We start from the raw sequence: 23,754 nt of genomic DNA, 5'->3' as shown, positions 1-23,754 counted from the left end.
TTTTCACTGGCAGCTGATAAGATTGTGCCCACCAGATTAAAGGTGGATCTGCCTTCCCCACCCCACTGACTCCAGTGTTAATTTCTTTTGGCAACACCCTCACAGACACACCCAGGATCAATACTTTGTATCCTTCAATCAAGTTGACACTCAGTATTAACCATCACAGATAGTTAGCTCTTCTTGTTTAATTGAACCCTTTACCATTATGTAATGCCCTTCTTTGTCTTTTTTTTTTATCTTTGTTTGTTTAAAGTCCTTTGTATAAGAAACTAGAATTGCAACCCCTGCTATTTTCTGTTTTCCATTTGTTTGGTAAATTTTACTCCATCCCTTTATTTGAGCCTATGTGTGTCTTTGCATGTGAGATGGGTCTCTTGAAGACATCGTATTGATGAGTCTTGGTTCTTTTTTGTTTGTGTGTGTTATCTCTTTTTTTATTTTTTATTATTATTTTTAAAATATCTTTTTCTTTTTTACTTTAAATTCTGGGGTACGTGTGCAGAACATGCAGTTTTGTTACATAGATATACATGTGCCATGGTGGTTTGCTGCACCCATCAACCTGTCACCTACATTAGGTATTTCTCCTAATGTTATCCCTCCTCTAGTGCCCCCCACCTGCCAACAGGCGCTGGTGTGCGATGTTCCCCTCCCTATGTCCATGTGTTCTCATTGTTCAGCTCCCACTTATGAGTGAGAACATGCAGTGTTTGGTTGTTCTGTTCTTGTGATAGTTTGCTGAGAATGATGGTTTCCAACTTCATCCATCTCCCTGCAAAGGACATGAACTCATGCTTTTTATGGCTGCATAGTATTCCATGGTGTATATGTGCCACATTTTCTTTATCCAGTCTATACTGATGGACATTTGGGTTGGTTCCAAGTCTTTGCTATTGTGAACAGTGCTACAATAAAAATGTGTGCATGTGTCTTTATAGCAAAATGATTTATAATCCTTTGGGTATATACCCCATAATGGGATCACTGGGTCAAATGGTATTTCTAGTTCTAGATCCTTAGGAATTGCCACACTGTCTTCCACAATGGTTGAACTAATTTATACTCCCACCAACAGTGTAAAAGTGTTCCTATTTCTCCACTCTGATGATAGTTTCTTTTGCTGTGCAGAAGCTCTTTAGTTTAATTAGATCCCATTTGTCTGTTTTGGCTTTTGTTACCATTGCTTTTGGTGTCTTAGACATGAAGTTTTTGCCCATGCCTATGTCCTGAATGGTATTGCCCAGGTTTTCTTCTAGGATTTTTATGGTCCTAGGTCTTACCTTTAAGTCTTTGATCCATCTTGAGTTGATTTTTGTATAGGGTACAAGGAAGGGGTCCAGTTTCAGTTTTCTGCATATGGCTAGCCAGTTTTCCCAACAACATTTATTAAATAGGGAATTCTTTTCCCCATTCCTTGTTTGTGTCAGATTTGTCAAAGATCAGATGGTTGTAGATGTGTGGTGTTATTTCTGAGGCCTCTGTTCTGTTCCTTTGGTCTATGTATCTGTTTTGGTACCAGTACTATGCTGTTTTGGTTACTGTAGCCTTGTAGTATAGTGTGAAGTCAAGTAGCGTGGTATCTCCAGCTTTGTTCTTCTTGCCCAAGATTGTCTTGGCTATGCGGGCCCTTTTTTGGTTCCATATGAACTTTAAAGTAGTTTTTTCCAATTCTGTGAAGAAAGTCAGTGGTAGCTTGATGGGTATAGCATTGAATCTATACATTACTTTGGACAGTATGGCCATTTTCACGATATTGATTCTTCCTATCCATGAGCATAGAATGTTTTTCCATTTGTTTGGGTCCTTTCTTACTTCCTTGAGCAGTGGTTTGTAGTTCTCCTTGAAGAGGTTCTTCACATCCCTTGTAAGTTATGTTCCTTGGCATTTTATTCTCTTAGCAGCAATTGTGAATAGGAGTTCACTCATGAGTTGGCTCTCTGTTTGTCTGTTATTGGTGCATAGGAATGCTTGTGATTTTTGCACATTGATATTGTATTCTGAGACTGCTGAAGTTGCTTATCAGCTTAAGGAGATTTTGCATTGTGACTATGGGGTTTTCTAAATATACAATCATGTCATCTGCAAATAGAGACGATTTGACTTCCTCTCTTCCTATTTGAATACCCTTTATTTCTTTCTCTTGCCTGATGGCCCTGGCCAGAACTTCCAATACTATGTTGAATAGGAATGGTGAGAGAGGGCATTCTTGTCTTGTGCTGGTTTTCAAAGGGAATGCTTCCAGTTTTTGCCCATTCAGTATGATATTGGCTGTGGGTTTGTCATAAATAGCTCTTATTATTTTGAGATACGTTCCATTGATACCCAGTTTATTGAGAGTTTTTAGCATGAAGGGGTGTTGAATTTTGTTGAAGGACTTTTCTGCATCTATTGGGATAATCATGTGGTTTTTGTGATTGTTTCTGTTTATGTGATGGATTACGTTTATTGATTTGCGTATGTTGAACCAGGCTTGCATCCCAGGTAGGAAGCTGACTTGATCGTGGTGGATAAGCTTTTTGATGTGCTGCTGGATTTGGTTTGGCAGTATTTTATTGAGGATTTTTGCATCGATGTTCATCAGGGATATTGCCTGAAATTTTCTTTTTTTGTTGTGTCTGCCAGGTTGTGGTATCAGGATGATGCTGGCCTCATAAAATGGGTTAGGGAAGATTTGCTCTTTTTCTATTGTTTGGAATAGTTTCAGAAGGAATGGTACCAGCTCCTCTTTGTACCTCTGGCAGAATTCAGCTGTGAATCTGTCTGGTCCTGGACTTTTTTTGGTTTGTAGGCTATTAATTACTGCCTCAATTTCAGAAGTTGTTATTGGTCTATTCAGGGATTTGACTTATTCCTGGTTTGGACTTAGGAGAGTGTATGTGTCCAGGAATTTATTTTCTTCTAGATTTTCTAGTTTATTTGCGTAGAGGTGTTTATAGTATTCTCTAATGGTAGTTTGTATTTCTGTGGGATCAGTGGTGATATCCCCTTTATCATTTTTTTATTGCATCTATTTGATTCTTCTCTCTTTTCTTCTTTATTAGTCTGGCTAGTGGTCTATCTACTTTGTTGATCTTTTCAAAAAACCAGCTCCTGGATTCACTAATTTTTTGAAGGGTTTTTCATGTCTCTATCTCCTTCAGTTCTGCTCTGATCTCAGTTATTTCTTGTCTTCTGCTAGATTTTGAATTTGTTTGCTGTTGCTTCTCTAGTTCTTTTCATTTTGATTTTAGGGTGTCAATTTTAGATCTTTCCTGTTTTCTCTTGTGGACATTTAGTGCTATAAATTTCCCTTTACACACTGCTCTAAATGTGTCCAGAGATCCTGGTTTGTTGTGTCTTCATTCTCATTGGTTTCAAAGAACATCTTTATTTCTGCCTTCATTTTGTTATTTACCTAGTGGTCATTTAGGAGCAGGTTGTTCAGTTTCCATGTAGTTGTGTGGTTTTGAGTGAGTTTTTAAATCCTAAGTTCTAGTTTGATTGCACTGTGATCTGAGAGACTGTTTGTTATGATTTCTGTTCTCTACATTTCCTCAGGAGTGTTTTACTTCCAATTATGTGGTCAATTTTAGAATAAGTGCAATGAGATGCTGAGAACAACGTATATTCTGTTGATCTTGGGTGGAGAGTGCTGTAGATGTCTATTAGGTCTGCTTGGTCCAGAGCTGAGTTGAAGTCCTGAATATCCGTGTTAATTTTCTGACACATTGATATGTTGTGTTAAAGTCTCCCACTATTATTATGTGGGAGTCTAAGTCTCTTTGTGGGTCTCTAAGAACTTGCTTTCTGAATCTGGATGCTCCTGTATTGGGTGCATATATATTTAGGATAGTTAGCTCTTCTTGCTGCATTGATCCTTTTACCGTTATGTAATGCCCTTCTTTGTCTCTTTTGATCTTTGTTGGTCTAAAGTCTGTTCTAGCAGAGATAAGGATTGCAACTCCTGCTTTTTTTTTTTTCTTTCCATTTCCTTGGTAAATATTCCTCCATCCCTTTATTTTGAGCCTATATGTGTCTTTGCATGTGAGATGGGTCTCCTGAATACAGCACACTGATGGGTCTTGATTCTATCCAATTTGCCAGTCTGTGTCTTTTAACTGGGGAATTTAGCCCATTTACATTTAAGGTTAATATTGTTATGTGTGAATTTGATCCTGTCATTATGATGTTAGCTGGTTGTTTTGGCCATTAGTTGATGCAGTTTCTTCAAAGTGTCAATGTTCTTTACAGTTTGGTATGTTTTTGCAGTGGCTGGTACTGGTTGTTCCTTTCCATGTTCAGTGCTTCCTTCTCTTGTAAGGCAGGCCTGGTGGTGACAAAATCTCTCAGCATTTGCTTGTCTATAAAGGATTTTATTTATCCTTCCCTAAGAAGCTTAGTTTGGCTGGATATGAAACTGTGGGTTGAAAATTCTTTTCTTTAAGCATGTTGAATATTGGCCCCTACTCTCTTCTGGCTTGTAGGGTTTCTGCAGAGAGCTCTGCTGTTAGTCTGATGGGCTTCCCTTTGTACGTAACCCCACCTTTCTCTCTGCCCTTAACATTTTTTCCTTTATTTCAACATTGGCAAATCTGATGATTATGTGTCTTAGGGTTGTTCTTCTCGAGGAGTACCTTCATGGTGTTCTCTGTATTTCCTGAATTTGAATGTTGGCCTGTCTTGCTAGGTTGGGGAAGTTCTCTTGGATAATATCCTGATCTTGGTTTGAGAATTGAACTTGGTTCAATTCGCCTCCTCACTGTCAGGTACACCAATCAAACGTGGATTTGGTCTTTTCACATATATTTCTTGGAGCCTTTGTTCACTCCTTTTTATTCTTTTTTCTCTAATCTTGTTTTCTCTCTTTATTTCATTAAGTTTATCTTCAGTCACTGATATCCTTTCTTCTGCTTGATCGATTCGGCTATTGAAACTTGTGTATGCTTCATGAAGTTCTCATGCTGTGTTTTTCAGCTACATCAGGTCATTTATGTTCTTCTCTACACTCGTTATTCTAGTTAGCAATTTGTCTAACCTTTTTTCAAGGTTCTTAGCTTCCTTGCATTGGGTTAGAACATGCTCCTTTAGCTCGGAGGAGTTCGTTATTACTCACCTTCTGAAGCCTACTTCTGTCAATTCGTCAAACTTTCTCCATCCAGTTTTGTTCCCTTCCTGGCAAGGAGTTGTGATCTTTTATAGGAGAAGAGACGTTCTGGTTTTTGGAATTTTCAGCCTTTTTGTGCTGGTTTTTCCCCATCTTTGTGGATTTATCTACCTTTGGTCTTTGATGTTGGTGACCTTCATATGGGGTCTTTGAGTGGATGTGCTATTTCTTTCTGTTAGTTTTCCTTCTGACAGGCCCCTCTACTGCAAGCCTGCTGGTTTGCTGGAGGTCCACTCCTGACCCTGTTTGCCTGGGTATCACCAGCGGAGGCTGCAGAACAGCAAAGATTGCTACCTGACCTTTCCTCTGGAAGCTTCGTCCCAGAGGGGCACCTGCTGTATGCCAGCCAGAGCTCTCCTGTATGAGGTGTCTGTCGGCCGTACTGGGACGTGTCTCCCAGTCAGGATACACTTGAAGAGGCAGTCTGACCCTTAGCTGAGCTGGAATGCTGTGCTGGGAGGTCTTTTGCTCTCTTCAGAGATGTCAGGCAGGGACATTTAAGTCTGCTGAAGCTGTGCCCACAGCCGCCCCTTTCCCCAGGTGCTCTGTCCCAGGGAGATGGGGGTTTTATCTGTAAGTCCCTGACTGGGACTGCTGCCTTTTTTCAGAGATGCCCTGCCCAGAGAAGGGAAATCTGGCAGTCTGGCCACAGCAGCCTTTCTGAGCTGCAGTGGGATCCACCCAGTTTGAGCTTCCCAGTAGCTTTGTTTACACTGGGAGCAGAAAACCACCTACTCAAGCCTCAGCAATGGCGGATGCCCCTCCCCCCACCAAGCTTGAGTGTCCCAGGTCTATCTCAGACTGCTGCTGTGCTGGCAGCAAGAATTTCAAGCCACTGGATCTTAGTTTGTTGGGCTCTGTGGGGGTGGGACCCCCAAGCCAGACCACTTGGTTCCCTGGCTTCAGCACCCCTTTCCAGGGGAGTGAACGGTTCTGTCTCACTGGCGTTCCAGGTGCCACTGGGGTATGAAAAAAAAGAACTCCTACAGCTAGTTTGGTGTCTCCCCAAATGGCCGCCCAGTTTTGTGCTTGAAACCCAGGGCCCTGGTCGGGTAGGCACTGGAGGGAATCTCCTGGTTTGCGGGTCGCGAATACCATGGGACAAGCACAGTATCTGTGCCATAGTTCCTCAGGCTCAGTCCCTCACAGCTTCCCTTGGTTGGGGGAGAAAATTCTCCGACCCCTTGCACTTCCCGGGTGAGGTGACGCCCCACCCTGCTTTGGCTTGCCCTCCGTGGGCTGCATCCACTGTCCAACCAGTCCCAATGAGATGAACTGGGTACCTCAGTTGGAAATGCAGAAATCACCCTCCTTCTGTGTCAATCTCACTGGAAGCACAGACCAGAGCTGTTCCTATTCGGCCATCTTGCCAGCAATCTGGGTCTTGGTTCTTTATCCAGCTTGCCATTCTGTGTCTTTTAATTGGGGCATTTAGCCATTTACATTTAAGGTTAGTATTGTTATGTGTGGATTTGATCCTGTCTTCATAAAGGTAGCTGGTTATTTTGCAGACTTGTTTATGTGGTTGCTTCATAGTGTCACTGGTCTGTGTGCTTCATTTGGTGTTTCTTGTTTGTTTTTTTACTGGCTACTAATGGTTTTTCCTTTCCATATTTAGTGTTTCCTTCAGCTCTTGCAAGGCAGGTTTGGCGGTGACAAATTCCCTCAGCATTTGCTTGTCTGAAGAGGATCTTATTACTTCTTCACTTATGAAGCTTACTTTGGCTGGATATGAAATTCTGGGTTGGAAATTCGGTTGAGAATGCCGGATATTGGCCCCCAATTTCTTCTGACTTGTAAAGTTTCCACCGAGACGTCCGCTGATAGTCTGAGGGGCTTCCCTTTGTAGGTGACCTGGCCTTTCTCTCTGGCTGCCCTGAACATTTTTTCTAACATTTTGACCTTGGAGCATCTGACGATTATGTGTCTTGGGGTTGATCTTTTTATGGAGTATCTTCCTGGGGTTCTCTGCATTTCCTGAATTTCAATGTTGGCCTGTCTTGCTAGGTTGGTGATGTTCTCCTGGATGATATCCTGAAGCATGTTTTTCAACTTGGTTTTGGCTAATAGACTTCTTAAACTCTCCCTCTCAATGTGGTCCACTCACAGCTTTCCCCAACTCTGTTGATGGCAGCTAAACTTTTCTGGCTGTTCAGACCAAATCTGGAGTCATTCTCAACTACTCTGTTTTACTCCCATGTCCAACTTGTCAGGAAATCCTCTTGGGTCTACTGTTAAAATGTCTGCAGAATCTATCTGAAACCTGTACTGCTTGTTCTGAACCACCCGGTCTGAGCTACGATTAGCTCTTGCCCGCTTCGAGTCATGCTAATATTAATATATTCTCTAGACAGCACCCAGAGCGATTCTTTCAAATAGAAGTAAAGTCATGTCATTTCTCTGTTCAAACTCTGCTATGGTTTGCATTTCACTCAGAATGAAACCTGGAGTCCTTACCAAGGGCCCACAAAGCCCTTTGTGATTTGTCCCCCAACCCCCCACCTCCCACCTCTCCATTATCTTCTGCCAGTATCCCGTCACTTCATTTGGTCCTCTAATTTTGTCTGGCCAAGATAGTGGTTTATTTTTGTCTTTTTCTATGTAATAGGGAAAAGGCAATGAATACAACTAGATGGGAGTTACGTTTCCTTGCAATACAAGCACTAATTGTCTTATTCTTTTGTTAAGCATTCATATACCTGTGGGGCCCCTGCCAGCCTTGGAGTATTCCTACAATGTAGGAGGCAAATGTAAAGCCACCGAAGGTTTTAAACAGGTCAGATTTGCGTTCAGATGGATGATTTTGCATTCATCATGGAGAATGGGCTTAAGCTGAACTCCACTGGAAGCAAAGACTGAAAAACCATTAAAAAGTTTTTACAACTGTTCAGCAGGAGCGCAAAGGAGACTCCAGATTTCAGAAACACTAAGGCAGAATAAAGAGGACCTAGTGCTTGACTGAATAAGACCGTTTGGGGGTCGGGCAGTAAGTTTCAGGGAAAAGCTCCTAGGTTTCTGGCTTGAGTCTTGAGTAACCTAACAGACGAAGGTACCACGTTAGGTGAACATGAGGCCTCCTCGGGTAATTTTTAAGCCTAGCTATCTTGAAAATGCAGCAGTCCTGATGGGCACACACGTGTTGGGGAAGTTTGCGGTTCCTATAGGCCGCGAATTATTTAACTTTTTACACAAGCATTTCATACAACTGTGATGGAGATCAAGAGCTACGTGTTGCCGGCCTCCTGAGGAATGAGGAAAACTGGAGGCCTGACTTCCCTGCTTCCTCCGCTTCCCGGGACCAGCCGTCCTGGCCGCCTGGCGCCCCGCATGCCCGCGGCCTCTCCCTCCCGTGGAGCACCGCGTTTCCCTGGCCGTTGCTGGCGGGCTGTAGTGGAGGAATAACGGACCTGAGCAGCGGTCACCACAGTAACGAATTCGCTGCCAGTGGAGTCTCGAGGGACACAGGCGTCTCCAGGGCGCCCCTTCCGGGTGACCGCGCTGGGGGTCCACACGCGCGTCCGCCCCCAGCCTTCGTTCGCCGCGCTGGTCCCTGCCCAGAGGAGGAGGAAGGGAGGGTAGGGGGCGGCGGGGGTGTTCCCGTCGCAGCTTGGGAACCCCGAAAGGCACCTGAGTGGCCGGCCTCGGCCTCCCTGGGCGGCCGTATTGTCTAAGCTCCATAGCAACCCCGGCGCGGCGCCGGCCACGCTAGCCAGCGTAGCTCCGGAGCCCGCGCGCCGTCGCCGCGTCGCTCAGGCCCTGACCCGCGCTGGACCCGCGCGCTAGGGCCCTGACGGCCCGCGCGGGCTCCAGGCGCGGGCAGCGGGGACGGCATGCCCGAGAAGAGGCTCACCGCGGGTAGGTGGCGGCCCCACAGGGACAGAGGATCAGCCCGCGGCGTCGGGGCCGCACCACGCGCCAGCCTCTGGACTTTACCTCCTGCCCTCCTAGCGGTATCCCCGCTCCCAGACATGAGAAAAAAGGGCTTCACTGCCCTCCTGTTGGATTTTATGACGAATTTCACGTCCTCGCCGGTTTATGCTGGCACCACGTTATCTCGCTTAATTCTGCATATTGTACGTAGAATAATAGAGGGTTCCGTCTATGAAGAAGGGTAACTCCTGGGTCACAGTGAATTAGTGACCAGGCAGGATTCCAGAGGCCTTTCCTTCCCACTTCCACCTTGAATTCCAACTTAAAATGCAAGCCATGTACAGAGAATGAACAGAGGGCCAGAAATGTGCTACGTTTGCCTGTGTATAACGTAGGGCTAGGTGCTGTCTCCCATGATTTCATTTACTCAAAGGAAATCAGATTTGAGGGAGATAATGTAATATTTTGTCTTGTTTCAGAGCCACCAACTATTACAGAAGAAGAATTTGTAAGTATCATTTCAAGGGGCTATTTTTTTCTTTGGCCTTTAAAAAAATAGCAAATATTAGATCATAGAAGAAAGCTGTGTGTTTTCTTTCCTCCTTTTTGCCAGAGTTTTGGTTTAGTAACAATTGTAATAACTGTGTACAAGATCTTTTTAAATTCTTTATCTGGCACATAATTTTAAGAAGGGGCCAATTAATTTGTATGGTGGATGCTGTTCATCATTAAAGTTCTTTCACATAAATGGCCTCATTTAATTTCTCTAAACTCTTTAATGACTCCATGAGAGGAAAGTTTTATCTCCATGGCTGTATTATGATGTGGCTGTGCATTTCCTGGTTGGAGTAAACATAAGTAAATGGCGTTGATGGATAAAGAGTGGTCAATTTATCATTCCTTTACAAATGTACTAAATACTCCCATTTCAGACTTCTAGAGAGGTGAAGTAATAAAAGTATTTGCTAAATATATCCTATACATTGTCATTTAGGTGAGTGCTACATTTAGGCTGGGTTCCATTGTAATTCCCATTGTATACAGTGTTTCAGGAACTTGCCTGAGGTTACACAGACAAATAGGAGCTGTCAGAGCCTAATTCCTACCAAGATCTGAGTCTGATTCCAAGAGCTCTAACCACTTCTATTATTTATTTATGTCTTCCAGCACTTACTTCTCTTGTTGGCTAATTATCTTATTTGCTTTTGGCTTTCAATCAACAAACATGCATGATTGTATAGTCATAGTGTGGTCCTAGATGCTGAGGTTAAGTCTCAAGAAGTTCACAGTCTAGCAGGGACTAAGAGAGAAGAAAGGGCTAAGCCTGTGTGCGCGGGTGGCTTTCACATTCACCTTTCCAGAGCTCTGGTCCATTGCTGGGAGAGACAGACACACACACATCTACACATACACACATACACACACACAGCCACTGAAGGTAGAGGTACACAGAACAAGTCAGAAATTCCTTCCATCTTCTGGCCATGTTGACAGAGCTCTGCTTTAAGAAAAAAAAAAATACACACACACACACACACACACACACACACACGCACATATTTTGAGACAGGGTCTCTCTCTGTCACCCAGGCTGGAGTGTAGTGGCCCCATCACAACTCACTGCAGCCCTGACTTCCCTGGGCTTAGGTGATCTTCCTGTCTCAGCCATCTGAGTCACTGTCCCTATAGGCACGTGCCAGCACGCCTGGCTAATTTTTATATTTTTTGTAGAGACAGAGTTTCACCATGTTGCCCAGGCCAGTCTCGAATTCCTGGGCTCAAGCAATCCACCCACCTCGGCCTCCCAAAGTGCTGGGATTACAGGCCCGAGCCACTGTTCCAGGCCCAGAGCTCTGCTTTTAATGGGAAATTTCTTTAAGCTGCTCCAGGCCTTCCTGAATTTACTCTTAGTTCCAGCAGGAGGTGAGCATTTCTGAAGCCAGCAAATCTTTTCCCATGCTGCTGAAGACTACTCAACAACACGCCACTTACTGTTTGAACAGTTCACTATTTTAGGTGTTGGCCCCATCCTTGAACTCATGATAGCCTGAAGACTCTAGGCATTCCCTTTCTCTTGGCTTGGTTTCACTGTCTCCGAGTTCTCTTATCTTTCATTATTATTCCCCCTTTCTGGCTTCTCTTTTTCTTTTCTCATGAAAGTATTGACCTTCAGGATTCTGTTCTCTGGGCTTTCTCTGGGTGAGCTCCTCTTCTCCTCCTGTAGCTTCAGTACCCCTGTTTCGTGGGACTTCCACATCTCCATACCTCCAGTCCAGACACCACTTTTAATGCCAGCTCTGTATATCCAGCGGTTATTGGGACTCTTTATCATCTGAATGTCCGTGTCAACAGTCTAAACTGAACTTTTCTCCCCAGGCCCCTCCACACTATGCTGTCTTTCCTCCACTTCTTATTTTGGTTTGTGGTGCCACTGGCCATTCAGTCACTCACATCAAAGACTTTCTTCCCTTTTCTTCATCCCCTGCCTGCAATCATTTACCAAGCTCCTTTCATAGCCAGATCTTTTTCTCCATCCACACAACTACTGTCTCATTTCAGGCCCCCACCCTGGGTCTGGACTTTGGTAGTAATCCTAACTGATACCATTGCCTCCAATATTCCTTCTGCCAACTCCAGTTTTTCTTTGTCTAAAGCATAAAATTCAAGCTCCTGAGCATCAGTTGTATTAGATTACTTCCTATTCCTTTGCTCTGTCTACCTTTAGATTTTTCCTTCTCCTATCACTCTTACCCTGGCTATCAGATTGCTATTAATTTTTTAAAACATTACCTTGTTACTGGCTTGCTCAGAGCTTTTATTAATAGCTAGTATTTATTGAATGCTAACAACATGCTAGTATTTAGTCTCAAAACAACCCTATTAGGTGGTTATTACTGCCTACATTTCACAGAAGAGGAGGTCGAAGTTCACAGTGGTTAACTAACTGGGCCTGAGGCCACATATCTCATAACTGGTAAAGCCAAAATGTCAAATGCTTTGCTTTAGCCTTCAAAACCTTTTCTATAACTTTTCAGCCTTCTTTAACCTTACCTCCCAATGCTTTTCTCTGTGATAAAGACAACATTCTTACTGTTTTTGATTTATAAAGTACATCCACATGCCTCCTGCCCCAGCCAAACTATACCCCACTTGTCTCCTTGCCTTTGCTGTCAAATTTTGTCTCAGTTGCCCTTCCCCATCTATTTCACAATCTTGCACATTCTTCAAGGCCCAGCTAATCTCCTCCATGAAGCCTTTCCAACCTAACATCATCCAGACTGCCTGTGAGCTCTGAGCATCTTTTAGCTGAGAGCAGTTTATAACCAGATTCTCAAATTCATATGCTCAACCAAGTATTGTCTATAGATTAAATAATTAACATGTCTTGCACATGTATTTACCCCTGTTTTTCAAAAGTGTGAAAGTATTGTTTTCATTAATAAATTACGTATTCTTAGGAAAAATGTGTCACGGACCTGTAGTTCCCCAAACTCCATTCTCTCCTTTCCATGGTAGATATCAGACCCATTGCTATCCCAAATTAAGACTACATTTTCTAGTTTCCCTTGCAGCCAAACATGGTCACAGAACCAAATTCTGGCCAATACGATGTAGGCAGAAGTGTTGTGTCCTACTTCTCTGGAGAGCTGATGTTTATAGAGATCAAATAATGGACCCTTAGGTCACACAGCTAGTAATTAGTTGAGCCACAGTTAGAAGCTGGGCTATTCTAACTTTAATACTTACATAAGTGTAGAAGGAAAGAATGAGCCCTTTTTCTTCTTTTCTGCCAGCTGGAATACAGTTGTGATGCTGGAGCTAAAGCAGTCATCTTAAATCATGAGATGGATGTGGCATCTTGAGGATGGTGGAGACATAAGATCAGAGGGGCCTGGGTCCCTGATATTTGGGAAGCCACAATGCCTTATGATTAATGTCTTATGATTACAACTGCTTTTGATTACATGAGAAAAATATTTTATTATTTTATTTAAGTAGTTTTTTTTTTTGGTTTCGTGCTCCTGTGTTCATACTAGCTTTTTTTTCATATTGTATTTTCTCAGTGGATCTAAAAGTACCATGCTGTTATAGACATCTGCAAAATAATATTTGAACCTCAACATGGGGTCTTCATTCTCAAAGGATAGAATAACTCATTTAGAATAAATTATTTGTTTGTTAGGGACACATACCTTGTATATATTTTTAATTTTTTACCTAGGTGTAAGATACACATTGAGAAAGTTTAAAGTGAGAGTGAATTACAAAATTTACACATTAAAATTTAGGGCTGGGCGCAGTGGCTCATGCTTGTAATCTCAGCACTTTGGGAGGTCAAGGTGGGCGGATCATGAAGTCAGGAGATCGAGACCATCCTGGTTAACACAGTGAAACCTTGTCTCTACTAAAAATACCAAAAAAAAAAAAAAAAAAAAAATTAGCTGGGCATGCCTGTAGTCCCAGCAACTCGGGAGGGTGAGGCAGGAGAATCGCTTGAATCCAGGAGGCAGAGGTTGCAGCGAGCTGAGATCACGCCACCACACTCCAGCCTGGGCAACAGAGCGAGACTCCATCTCAAAAAAAAAAAAAAGAAATTTAGGAGTCACTGTCACTTTAAACTTACAGCTAAAGTAAGGTGTAAGGTACACATTCAGAAAGTTTAAAGTGAGAATGACTCTTAAATTTTTTTATCATTAAAATAGAGTGCATTAATAGCGAAGATTTAAGAGCCTGACTTTTACATTCAAAATAATATCTTTTTCTTGTGCCTTAAAAGTAGTTAGTTTGCAACTATGCAAGTAAGTGTGCCAGACTTCAAAAAAAGTCTTTATCAAGTCTTCCATCAAAAAATGGAATCCAGGAAAGAAAATTCTTTATGGAGTAAAAACATTGTAGTGTAATGATCTATTTTGTTGAAGGTTTTCTGATTTAGAAAACCCACAGTTTTATTAACGTTAAAACTGGATTAAAAGCTGTTTAAAAAAGGAAAAGTTAAAAAAGAGACTACCTTGTAATCTTACTATCAAATTAAGATAAACTTTAGCTTTAAGCAGTATTTACTTGTATTTTAGTTGTTAAAAGTGGTATTCATTTTTAACTAATTTTTAGTCTGTTCAAATTTCTATTTTGTTATTTTTACAGGTTGAATGAAATTATAATAAACATAGGGTATTTCCCAAGCATGAAGACATTCTCATTATTTTAACATACAGTAACATAGTTGACTCTCCATATCCATGGATTCCACATCTGTGGATTCACCCAAACTTGGATTGAAAATATTCAGAAAAAGGCCAGGTGCAATGGCTCACACCTGTAACCCCAGCACTTTGGGAGGCCGTCGCAGGCAGATCACCTGAGGTCAGGAGTTCGAGACCAGCCTGGCCAACATGGTGAAACTGCGTCTCTACCAAAAATACAAAAATTAGCTGGACGTGATGGCACATGCCTGTAGTACCAGCTACTTGGGAGGCTGAAGCAGGAGAATTGCTTGAACCCAGGAGGTGGAGGTTGCAGTGAGCCCAGATCATGCCATTGCACTCCAGCCTCGGTGACAGAATGAGACTACGTCTCAAAAAAAAAAAAAAAATCAGAAAAAAATACAAACTTTAAAAATATAGGATAACAACCATTTACATAACATTTACATTGTATTAGGTATTGTAAGAAATCTAGAGTTGATTTAAAGTACATAGGAGGTTGGGTGTAGGTTATATGCAAATACTATGCCATTTTATATGAGGGACTTGAACATCCCCAGATTTCAGTGTCTGTGGGGGGTCCTGGAACCAATCCCCTGTGGATACCAAGGGACAACTGTATAGAATAAAGGTCCATAATTCCAGTCCTCCTAAACAAGACTAATTACTTGGCAATTAATGACCACTTGGTGGTTTTTTTCAAACAAAATATGTTAAATTACACATAATTGGGTTAAATGAACAGTGAGAGCCTACTGGGGCTGACACACTAGGCAGCTTCATATGGAAACACTGGAAGATAGGGCTAGACCTAAGTACTACCCCTACGTTCTCCTGTTCTTGTTTCTTTAAGAGGTTGCAGAGCTAGGGGCCAGAAGTGTTGTGAACAAGTCTTTAGGAAACTAAGACAGGTCCCAGAGGTCCTTTGTAAAGTGTTATGCTATTTGGAATTCTTTCATCTCTATGGAATCCTTTACTCTGAGTAGGAATCAAATTCTCTGATGCTTTTTTGGAACTACAGAAACTGTTAACAGTCCCATTGATAAGTTGGTAAATAAGTATATCATTAAGCAACTTTTTCAAGGTATGGCCATATTAGACACTACTGGGGACAAACATTGTCATTAGTCCCCAAAGTAGCATACCTTCTGATCAGAGAGATGGCCTTTAATATGAAACAGTAAAAGGATAAGCAGTTTATAGTTTAAGTGTGAGGTTTGAATTAAAAGTACATTGGGATTTAGAGAAGCTTGCCACATCCTCTTTTTACCTGTAAAGTATAGAATGGGAGACAAGGTGACCAAGGGTGTGAGATACTCTCTGCTTTAAATGAGTTTATTGAGTTGTAAGTATCTTTGTACAAGGAGAAAGCCTTAGGGTGTTTGTGCCTAATGGATTGTCTTAAGCCTAGTAGGTATAATTCGAAGTATTGGATTGGATAAAATTGATTGGATAAAAGGGAGTCTGGGCCAGGCGCAATGGCTCACACCTGTAATCCCAGCACTTTGAGAGGCCGAGGCGGGTGGATCATGAAGTCAGGAGATTCAGACCATCCTGGCCAACATGGTGAAACCCCGTCTCTACTAAAAATACAAAAACTAGCTGGGCTTGGTGGCATGCACCTGTAGTCCCAGCTACTCAGGAGGCTGAGCCAGGATAATCGCTTGAACCTGGGAGGTGGAGGTTGCAGTGAGCCAAGATTTTGCCACTGCACTCCAGCCTGGTGACAGAGCGAGACTTCATTAAAAAATAAATAAAATAAAATAAAATAAAATAAAATAAAATAAAATAAAATAAAATAAAATAAAATAAAATAAATAAAATAATAAAATAAATAAAAAAATAAAAGGGGGTCAGGGGCAGGGGAGCATCCAGAGCTTCCTTCACCTTCTCAAGCCTTTTGGGTACTTGTTGAGAGAGAGAGAGACAGAGAGAAGGAAAGGGAAGAGAAAAGAGAATAGAAGAGAAGAAGAAGGAAGAAAGAGGGAAGAAGAGAGAAGAGAACAGAAACCCGATGGAAAAGTGCTTCTGGATAGATACTGATGTAATCTGTGATGATAACCTTTGGAGGATAAAAGCAGAGTCCATACTTTTGCTCCTCATTGCATGAACCACTTTAATATCTTCCTCCTTCATAGACTTTGTTTCTAAGAAAATATAATTTTGCAAACCAGTGGGGATCTGATATGCGGGCTTTTGGTTTTCAAATTTCAAAAATGCCTTGATCTAGGCAAGCTATACTTTCAACAAGATGTGTTGTGGAGCTTGTCTCACCTTGCATTCTCTTTTTCTGACCCTTTTCTCTTTTGACAATATCTCTTCTTTTAATTAGTATTATTCGTTAGAGTCTTTTTAAAGTTATTAGTCTTTTCTCTTTAGGTTTCATGTCCTCAGTGTAATCATTCAATTATTCAGTAAAAATGTTCTAAACATTTACTATCTAAAGGCATTGAGAAATTAAAAGAATAAATAGGAAACAGCCCTTTTCCTCCAGTTCACAATCCAGTGGATGAGACATGTAAACAATTATAGTATGAAGTGATAAAGGTTTTTATAGGGGAAATATAGATGACCACTACTCCAGACTTCTGGAGAAGAAAAAAGATAGGTACGTGAATAAAGGGGAAAATTTTTCTGGGCAGAATAATCAGCATGTGCCAAGGTGCAGAACTATAAAAAAATTGCTATGACCACAGCGTGTAGTATGAGATAAGGCTGGACAGTGGGCAGGAGCCAAATTGCTTTCACCATAAGCCCTTTTTGTAGTAGAAAAGGATTGGAGATTGGGGGAACAATGGATCCCTTGTATTAAATGAGGTGTGGCTAGGAAGGCTGACCCATAGGGTGGTGTGGATAAGAAGGAATAGGAAAGATGAGGTTTGGCATATGATGGACAGTACGGTGAACCGAGGTCAGTCCCTTAGTGGACAGGATTCCAGAGTAGTAATCAGAAGATGGTCAGATAACCAGGAATTTATTCTAGAGGCAACGATGCTGATTTGAGAATCTGATATTTAATACACAGAAGGCTAAGAAGCCTGTCCATAACGTGCAGAGAAACTTGATCTTATTTCCTTGTACATAAAGCCCTCCTCCAAACATTTTACTAGGAAAAAATTTAAACATATAAGAATTAAAAGAATTGTATAGTGAACACTGATATACCTACCACTAAGATTTCACAATTTTTGTTACATTTGCTTTTTCACATAGCTGTCCTATCTCATCATCCATCAGTCCATCTTATTTTTTATGCATTTCAAAGTAAGTTACAGACATTGATAAACTTCACCTGTAAATACTTCATAAGTATCATGAACTATTAATAATATTCAATATTAGTTTATGATTCTTTTGTTGATGCACAATTTATACACTGAAATGCAAACATTTAAAGAATGATAATTTGATGAATTTTGACAAATGTATACACTTGTGTAATCCAAACTCCAGTGCATACATAGAACATTTTCATAGTCCTAGAAAGTTCTTCAAGCTCCTTGTCAGTTGATTCTCGCCCCCATTCCCCAGAGACACCTGCTATGCTGTCTTGCTTTCTGGCCTCTCTTCTTTGCTCGTGTTTATCTATGTCCTCAGCATTATTGCCCCTCATATTTATATTTCTAAATACAGAATTTGAAGTTATTTGAAATGCATTTCAAATGCCATTTTTCCCACTTGAGTCTCTTCTGATTCATCTTACCAGATAACGTCTTTCCTTCCTTTGGAAGAAACAGTTTATATTGTAATTCCCTTATGGCATGTATCACATTCTTTCTTGGACTGTAGTTTTTTTGTCTGTATCTTATTTCCTCTTCCTTGTTTATAGTGTCTTTGTATATCTTGCATCTTTTAGAGTTGTAAAGAAATTAGGCTGGGTGTGTTGGCTCATGCTTGTAATCCCAGCACTTCGGGAGGTCTAGGTGGGAGGATTGCTTGAGCCCAGGAGTTCAAGACCAGCATAGGCAATATAGTGAGACCCTGTCTGTACCAAAAAAAAAAAAAAAAATTTTTTTTAAATTAGCTAAGCGCCTAAGTGACAGAGCAAGAACCTGTCTCAAAAAAAAAAAAAATTGTAGTTCATCTGATTTGAAGGTGCAGCAAAATAAGTTTAAGCAAAAAATTTTACCTACCATAATTAGCAAGCACACATAAACTATTTTGTTAACCCTCTTTCAGTAAGACCTTTGAGAAGTTTGGACTAAAAATGGAAAAGCTGACTTCATTTTCACAGATGGCACACCTGTAATACATGAAAAAACAGGTTTCAAGAGTACATTCAATTCTGAAGAAGTGTTCCTACCTTCATTCAACAGAGAATCTGTGTTGCAAATTTTGCAGTCAGGCTTATGGAATGATGTAATGGAGGAAATGATTGTAACTCAATTTTCTTCTTGATTGTACCATTAACCATCACCAGTTTATTGATTATTTGGAAGATGTTAAACCTAAGCATAGAGACTTAGAGCATTTTAATATAGCCAAGTAATGGGACTGTGGAAACTCTTTGAGAGTGACTGAGCTACTTCTTCAGCTCAAGGCTTAATTTTGTTTTTTTAATTAAAGGGTTTGTGGTGTAAACAGCTTATCAGATACTCATGGGTTTACAAGACTGCTTAGTGATGTGACAAGATATTTTGAACACATTGAACTAGAAACTGCAGTGGGAAAATAGGTTCCTTTATTTACTAAGAGAAGGACAAGCCTTTCCACTCAGGTGCCAGATGTGGGTTGAGCAGATCGCACTTGCAGGCAACACTTATTTCCCATTGTGGAACTACCCAATATCAACGGAATTGCTGAGGTTTCATATTGATAGAAATTAAGGCACAATTTTATAAAAGATATAATTGATTTTGATGTATTTGATAATACCTGAGGTTTTCATAGTTTTCTGTAAGTGCAAACCAAAGGATATGACTGAATGCCTAGGAAATGTCAAGTCACCAAGGGGTTAGAGCAGTGCTACTGCTGCCACCTGAGAACTCTTATCAGTCTGTAGTGAGATGAGCTGAGCTCAGGAATCTAGAGTAAACTTTTAGAACCTTTATGGCAGTTTGACAGAGTATATTTATATCTGTTAAATTTAATAACAAAAAATTGGGATTGCAATATGTATCTTTTATTTCATTTTCTAATTATTCTTTCAAAGTTATCTGTCTGAAATACGTTAAGGAAAAAAACAACAACAAAACAGGGCTGAGCATGGTGGCTCATGGTTGTAATCCCAGCACTTTAGGAGGCCGAGGCGGGCAGATCACTTGAGGCTAGGAGTTCGAGACCAGCCTGGGCAACATGGTGAAACATTGTCTCTACAAAAAATACAAAAATTAGCTGGGCACGGTGGCATGTGCCTGTAGTCCCAGATACTTAGGAGGCTGAGGCACGAGAATCACTTGAACCCAGGAGGCGGAGGTTGCAGTGAGCTGAGATCACACCACTGCACTCCAGCCTGGGTGACGGGGCAAGACCTTGTCTCAAAACAAAAACAAAAATAAAACGGGTATCTCATCTCAGATAGTTCATTGAGTTAGAATCTTTTAGAAGTGCAAGACATCTGGAAATGAATATATGAATCTGAAAATTAGAAATTTCAGACAAGGTGGCAATTCTAGGCAATACTTACGTCCACCAGGTGCTATGAAATACATATTCTGTATTATGGCTAAAAATTAAAAATGAAATGTATACTTTAGAAAAACTAACAAGGGATTGTACTGCACTACTGCAAATTATTTAAGCTATTCACTGTTCACATCTGTGGATTTTTGATCATGTGATCCAGTACTGCCAAATTTGGCCACCCTTATTGTAGCACAATGCCTTCTACCCAGAATTCAGATGTTTTCTCATAAGAATTAGCAAAAACTAGATAGTCCACTAAATACAGTAGGAATTATTAAAGTAACTTTGAAAGGTAAAGTTTGATAGGTTACTAAATGCCTTATAGCTTCCCCCAAAAGGATATCTGCCTTGTTCTGCTTTGTTAGACTTTGCCAATCAGGACTTTCTTTGAGCACATGCTACTAAGGTACTACTACTAAGGTAGTAAATTTATTAAATCCTTAGTTTGTTGTTATTTTAATCAGTTGAAATTTTTAGAAAACTAAATCTTTTAAGGTTTCTAGTAAGTTTCTTGATATAAATTCTATAAGTGATTGTTTATAACTCTCTTCTGATGCTGCAATTACTTAAAGAAATTACCCTGAAAATCCACTTTCCAAAGTAGGTGCAATATGCTATAGTGTCTTCCTGATAGCACTATATACTTCAATAAATTTTTAAAAATTGGCCAGTATAAAAAGAAAGTAATCAGCCATATGGAAATAATAGCATTGTGTCATATTGTGAACTTTCATGTTAGATTTGCAAAATTGAAGTATAATTATGAATAACAAAATAAACACATGTACCATACAACAGTATGCCATGATGTGCTTTTGACATAATGGAAACAATTGCTAATAAAATAAGGTGTCTTATGATTTGGAAGAGAAATTTTGTTCTTGGCAGTGGCTTTTCAATTTTGCCAATTTGAAAAGTGGCTATGTTGGTGGATGAGATAGTTATGGAAAAAATGCATACAATCTTTATTCTTAGAACACATGCATTGTCAAACTTTCCTCGTGCAAAAGTGAAGCAGGATCCAGATTTAAAAATGTACCTCATTCTGGGGTGGGGGACAGTAGAACATTTTCTTCACTTCCTTTATCATTTTCATTGGGCAATTCAAGAAATTTACATTCTCAATTTCATTTGGGCTCCAAACACTGCTTCTTGTTGACTCTGCCTTTATTTTTATGAAATATGTATATATTTAATAAGTCTGTGTGAAACTTACCATGTGGTGGTATTATTTTGTATTTGTTGATGTTTCATTTAAGTGTTGTGCTATATTTTTCATGTGTTCTGTTTTCCAACTAAGTATAGTAGCAAAGTGTTTTAAGAGTATGCCCACTTCTGTTTTCTTATTTTTTCCTTTCAGAGATTGGAAGGAGACAATAAAACACCATAAACTGTGTTCAGTTTATAGTGAGGGTTCACTGTTGACTGACTAAAAGAGATTTGAAGATCTATGTGATAATAAATTCGTAGCAGAAATAGAGAATAATATAGGCATGATTTAAAATGTATAATTATAATACTGTGTTTTTATGTTTTTTTTTTGCAGGAAGATTCTCTGGCAACAGATGATTTCCTTGTAGACTACTTTAATGAATTCCTAAGCCTTCCAGTGAGTTTATTATTATGATCTATTGAATATATATTATCAAAGCAAAATATTTTAATCACTGGGTTATCTTGTGAAACCAATTTATCAGGGATAATGCTTTTTAAAAAAATATTAAAGCATTTAGGTAAAGGTTTTATCTTTTTACATAGTTAATCATTTGGATTTGAATCATATTTAGAAATTATTCTTATTGAAGAAATCTGGAGTTTTTCTAACCATTAAAAAGCATTCTGTACAAACTCTGGTTCAGCTGTATTTGGCACCATGTTAGGCTTTTTTTTTTGAGACATTGTGTTGCTCTGTCGCCCACGCTGGAATGCAGTGGTATGATCATGGCTCGCTGCAGCCCCGACTTCTCAAACTCTAGCGATCCTCCTGCCTCCCAAGTAGCTGGAACTTCAGACATGTGCCATGATGCCCAGCTAACAGTTAGACTTTTGACAGAGATAATAAGGACAAAATATCAAAAAAGTCAAGGAACTAATTTTTTGCTTTCAAGCAATTATTTTCATCCTCTTGGATAGAACTTAAAGTGGAATTTGTATTTAAGGCAACTAGAGTTTTATATCAGTAGTAAATAGGACTTGGCACACTGTCATTGGTGTAACATAGATTGATGCCAATTAATAGTTTCAGTCATAGACAGCAGTAACATGTATTGTGAGTATTAAGGGATGTCCTAGTCCATATAGTCTATGCTGCTATAGCAGAATAACTGAGATTGGGTAATGTATAAGGAATGGAAATTTATTTGGCTCACAGTTCTGGAAGTTGAAAAGTCCAAGATCAAGGGGCTGCATCTGGTGAGGGCCTTCCTCCCACATCATGCCATGGTGGAAGGGAAAACAGAGATTAAGAGAATGAGGGAGAAAGAGGGGCGCTGACCTCACTTTTATAACAAACTTTAAACAAGTTTTATAACACTCTCTTGATAACCAACCCACTCTCAAGATAACAACATTAATCCATTCAGGAGAGCAGAGCCCTCATGACCTAATCACTTCTTTTTAGGCCCCGCCTCCCAACACTGTTGCATTGGGAATTAAGTTTTCAACACATTAAATTTGGGGGACACATTCAAACCACATTAAGGAATTGGGGAAAAGTGAAATGAGGGGTCATAAAAAGACCTATCTTGTTGTATGAAAATAAAGTTAATAAGGAATGCTGGTTAAAAGATGTATAAGAAAAGGTTTTTGCTATTGTGTTATGAAACTGTTTTCCAGGGAAAATTTGAAACATAAAAAAAAATCACAAGTAATTTTTAAGGGAGTGTACCATAAATGTGAAGTCTCTTAAAGCCTAAACACTGGAATACCTTTTGAAGGGAAAGTACTATTCAGCACTTTCTTGTGTAGATTAGTTTTATATATATATATATGTATCTATGCATGCATGCATGTTTGTTTTGTGATTTTATTTTTCTAAAATAATTTTGTACTCTCTCTGTTGGGCATAGCTAGGTCTCTGGACCCATTATGGAAATTAGATTGACACACCAAAGCTCCTGCTCCCTTTCCAAGAACAAGCCTGAGCAACACCACAGGATATTCAAGGAGTTCTTGTTTGGTCTGACTCTTTAACTTTTGTTGTCCAGTTGTATATTATATAAGACCCAGTAGCATGACAAAATTGCCAGAATTTTGCTTTTCCAGATTACATAGTCTTTCCTGTGGGCTCTGCAATCTCCACTCTCCCTCCAAAACAAGTACATTTTTGTGAAATTTTAAATAGAAAAATCTCTATATAGATCTAATGTCGGTTTCTTAACATTTACATTTCAGTGTCTTGGGATTTGTGATTACATCAACTTGTTTTGGAAAAGAAATAAATTCTCTTAACTTTCTTTTAAAAAAATCTATTTTAAGTTATAGAGATGACATAACAATATTATAGACAGTTTACCAAAAATGTGATAATCCTGCCACCCAGTCAGAATAGACATTGCCATTTTTCTGTTTCCTTTCAGACTTTAGGTGACAGGACAGTGTGATTTCTGTTGAATTCTATGTAGTAATGTTTTTATCCCTCCTGAGCAAGACCTGAAGTTTGACCCCTTTGTGTGTCCCAAGCACTCACCTGGGCTGCCTTTTTCCTGTTTTCCATCTCTCCAAATCCTTCTGTTTTTACCTCCTCTTTTTTTTTTTTTTTTGGAGTTCCTCTTGCATCTACATTCAGGATCACACAGTCTACCAATTAATTACCCATTCTTCACATTACAAGACAAGAGAAGAGAAAATGTTGTCGCGGGTTTTCAAAAAGAATCTGGGGACAGGGAGGAGAAGGAATGATGTATTCTCAAA

At 40.1% G+C, this 23,754-nt stretch overlaps 1 protein-coding gene across 13 annotated transcripts in view; it reads left to right on the top strand.

The window, feature by feature from the left end:
• The first annotated feature begins 8,848 nt into the window (after positions 1-8,848).
• RGS22 (regulator of G protein signaling 22) overlaps positions 8,849-23,754 on the top strand; it is a 145,114-nt gene continuing 130,208 nt past the window's right edge. For 11 of the 13 annotated variants that reach the window (NM_001286692.2, XM_017013310.3, XM_017013309.3 and 8 more), the window contains exons 1-3: positions 8,849-9,001; positions 9,496-9,524; positions 21,389-21,451. In NM_001286692.2, the coding sequence (NP_001273621.1) occupies positions 8,977-9,001; positions 9,496-9,524; positions 21,389-21,451 (117 nt within the window). In that variant the 5' untranslated portion in view covers positions 8,849-8,976. Of the gene's footprint in view, positions 9,002-9,271; positions 9,525-21,388; positions 21,452-22,910; positions 23,021-23,754 lie in introns of those variants that run through there. The other 2 variants (XM_047421679.1, NM_001286693.2) reach the window with 2 other exon arrangements.

The sequence above is a fragment of the Homo sapiens genome, chromosome 8 (genome assembly GCF_000001405.40).
Source record: "Homo sapiens chromosome 8, GRCh38.p14 Primary Assembly".
Taxonomy (NCBI): Eukaryota; Metazoa; Chordata; class Mammalia; order Primates; family Hominidae; genus Homo; species Homo sapiens.
This window is presented reverse-complemented; position numbering and strand designations above follow the sequence as displayed.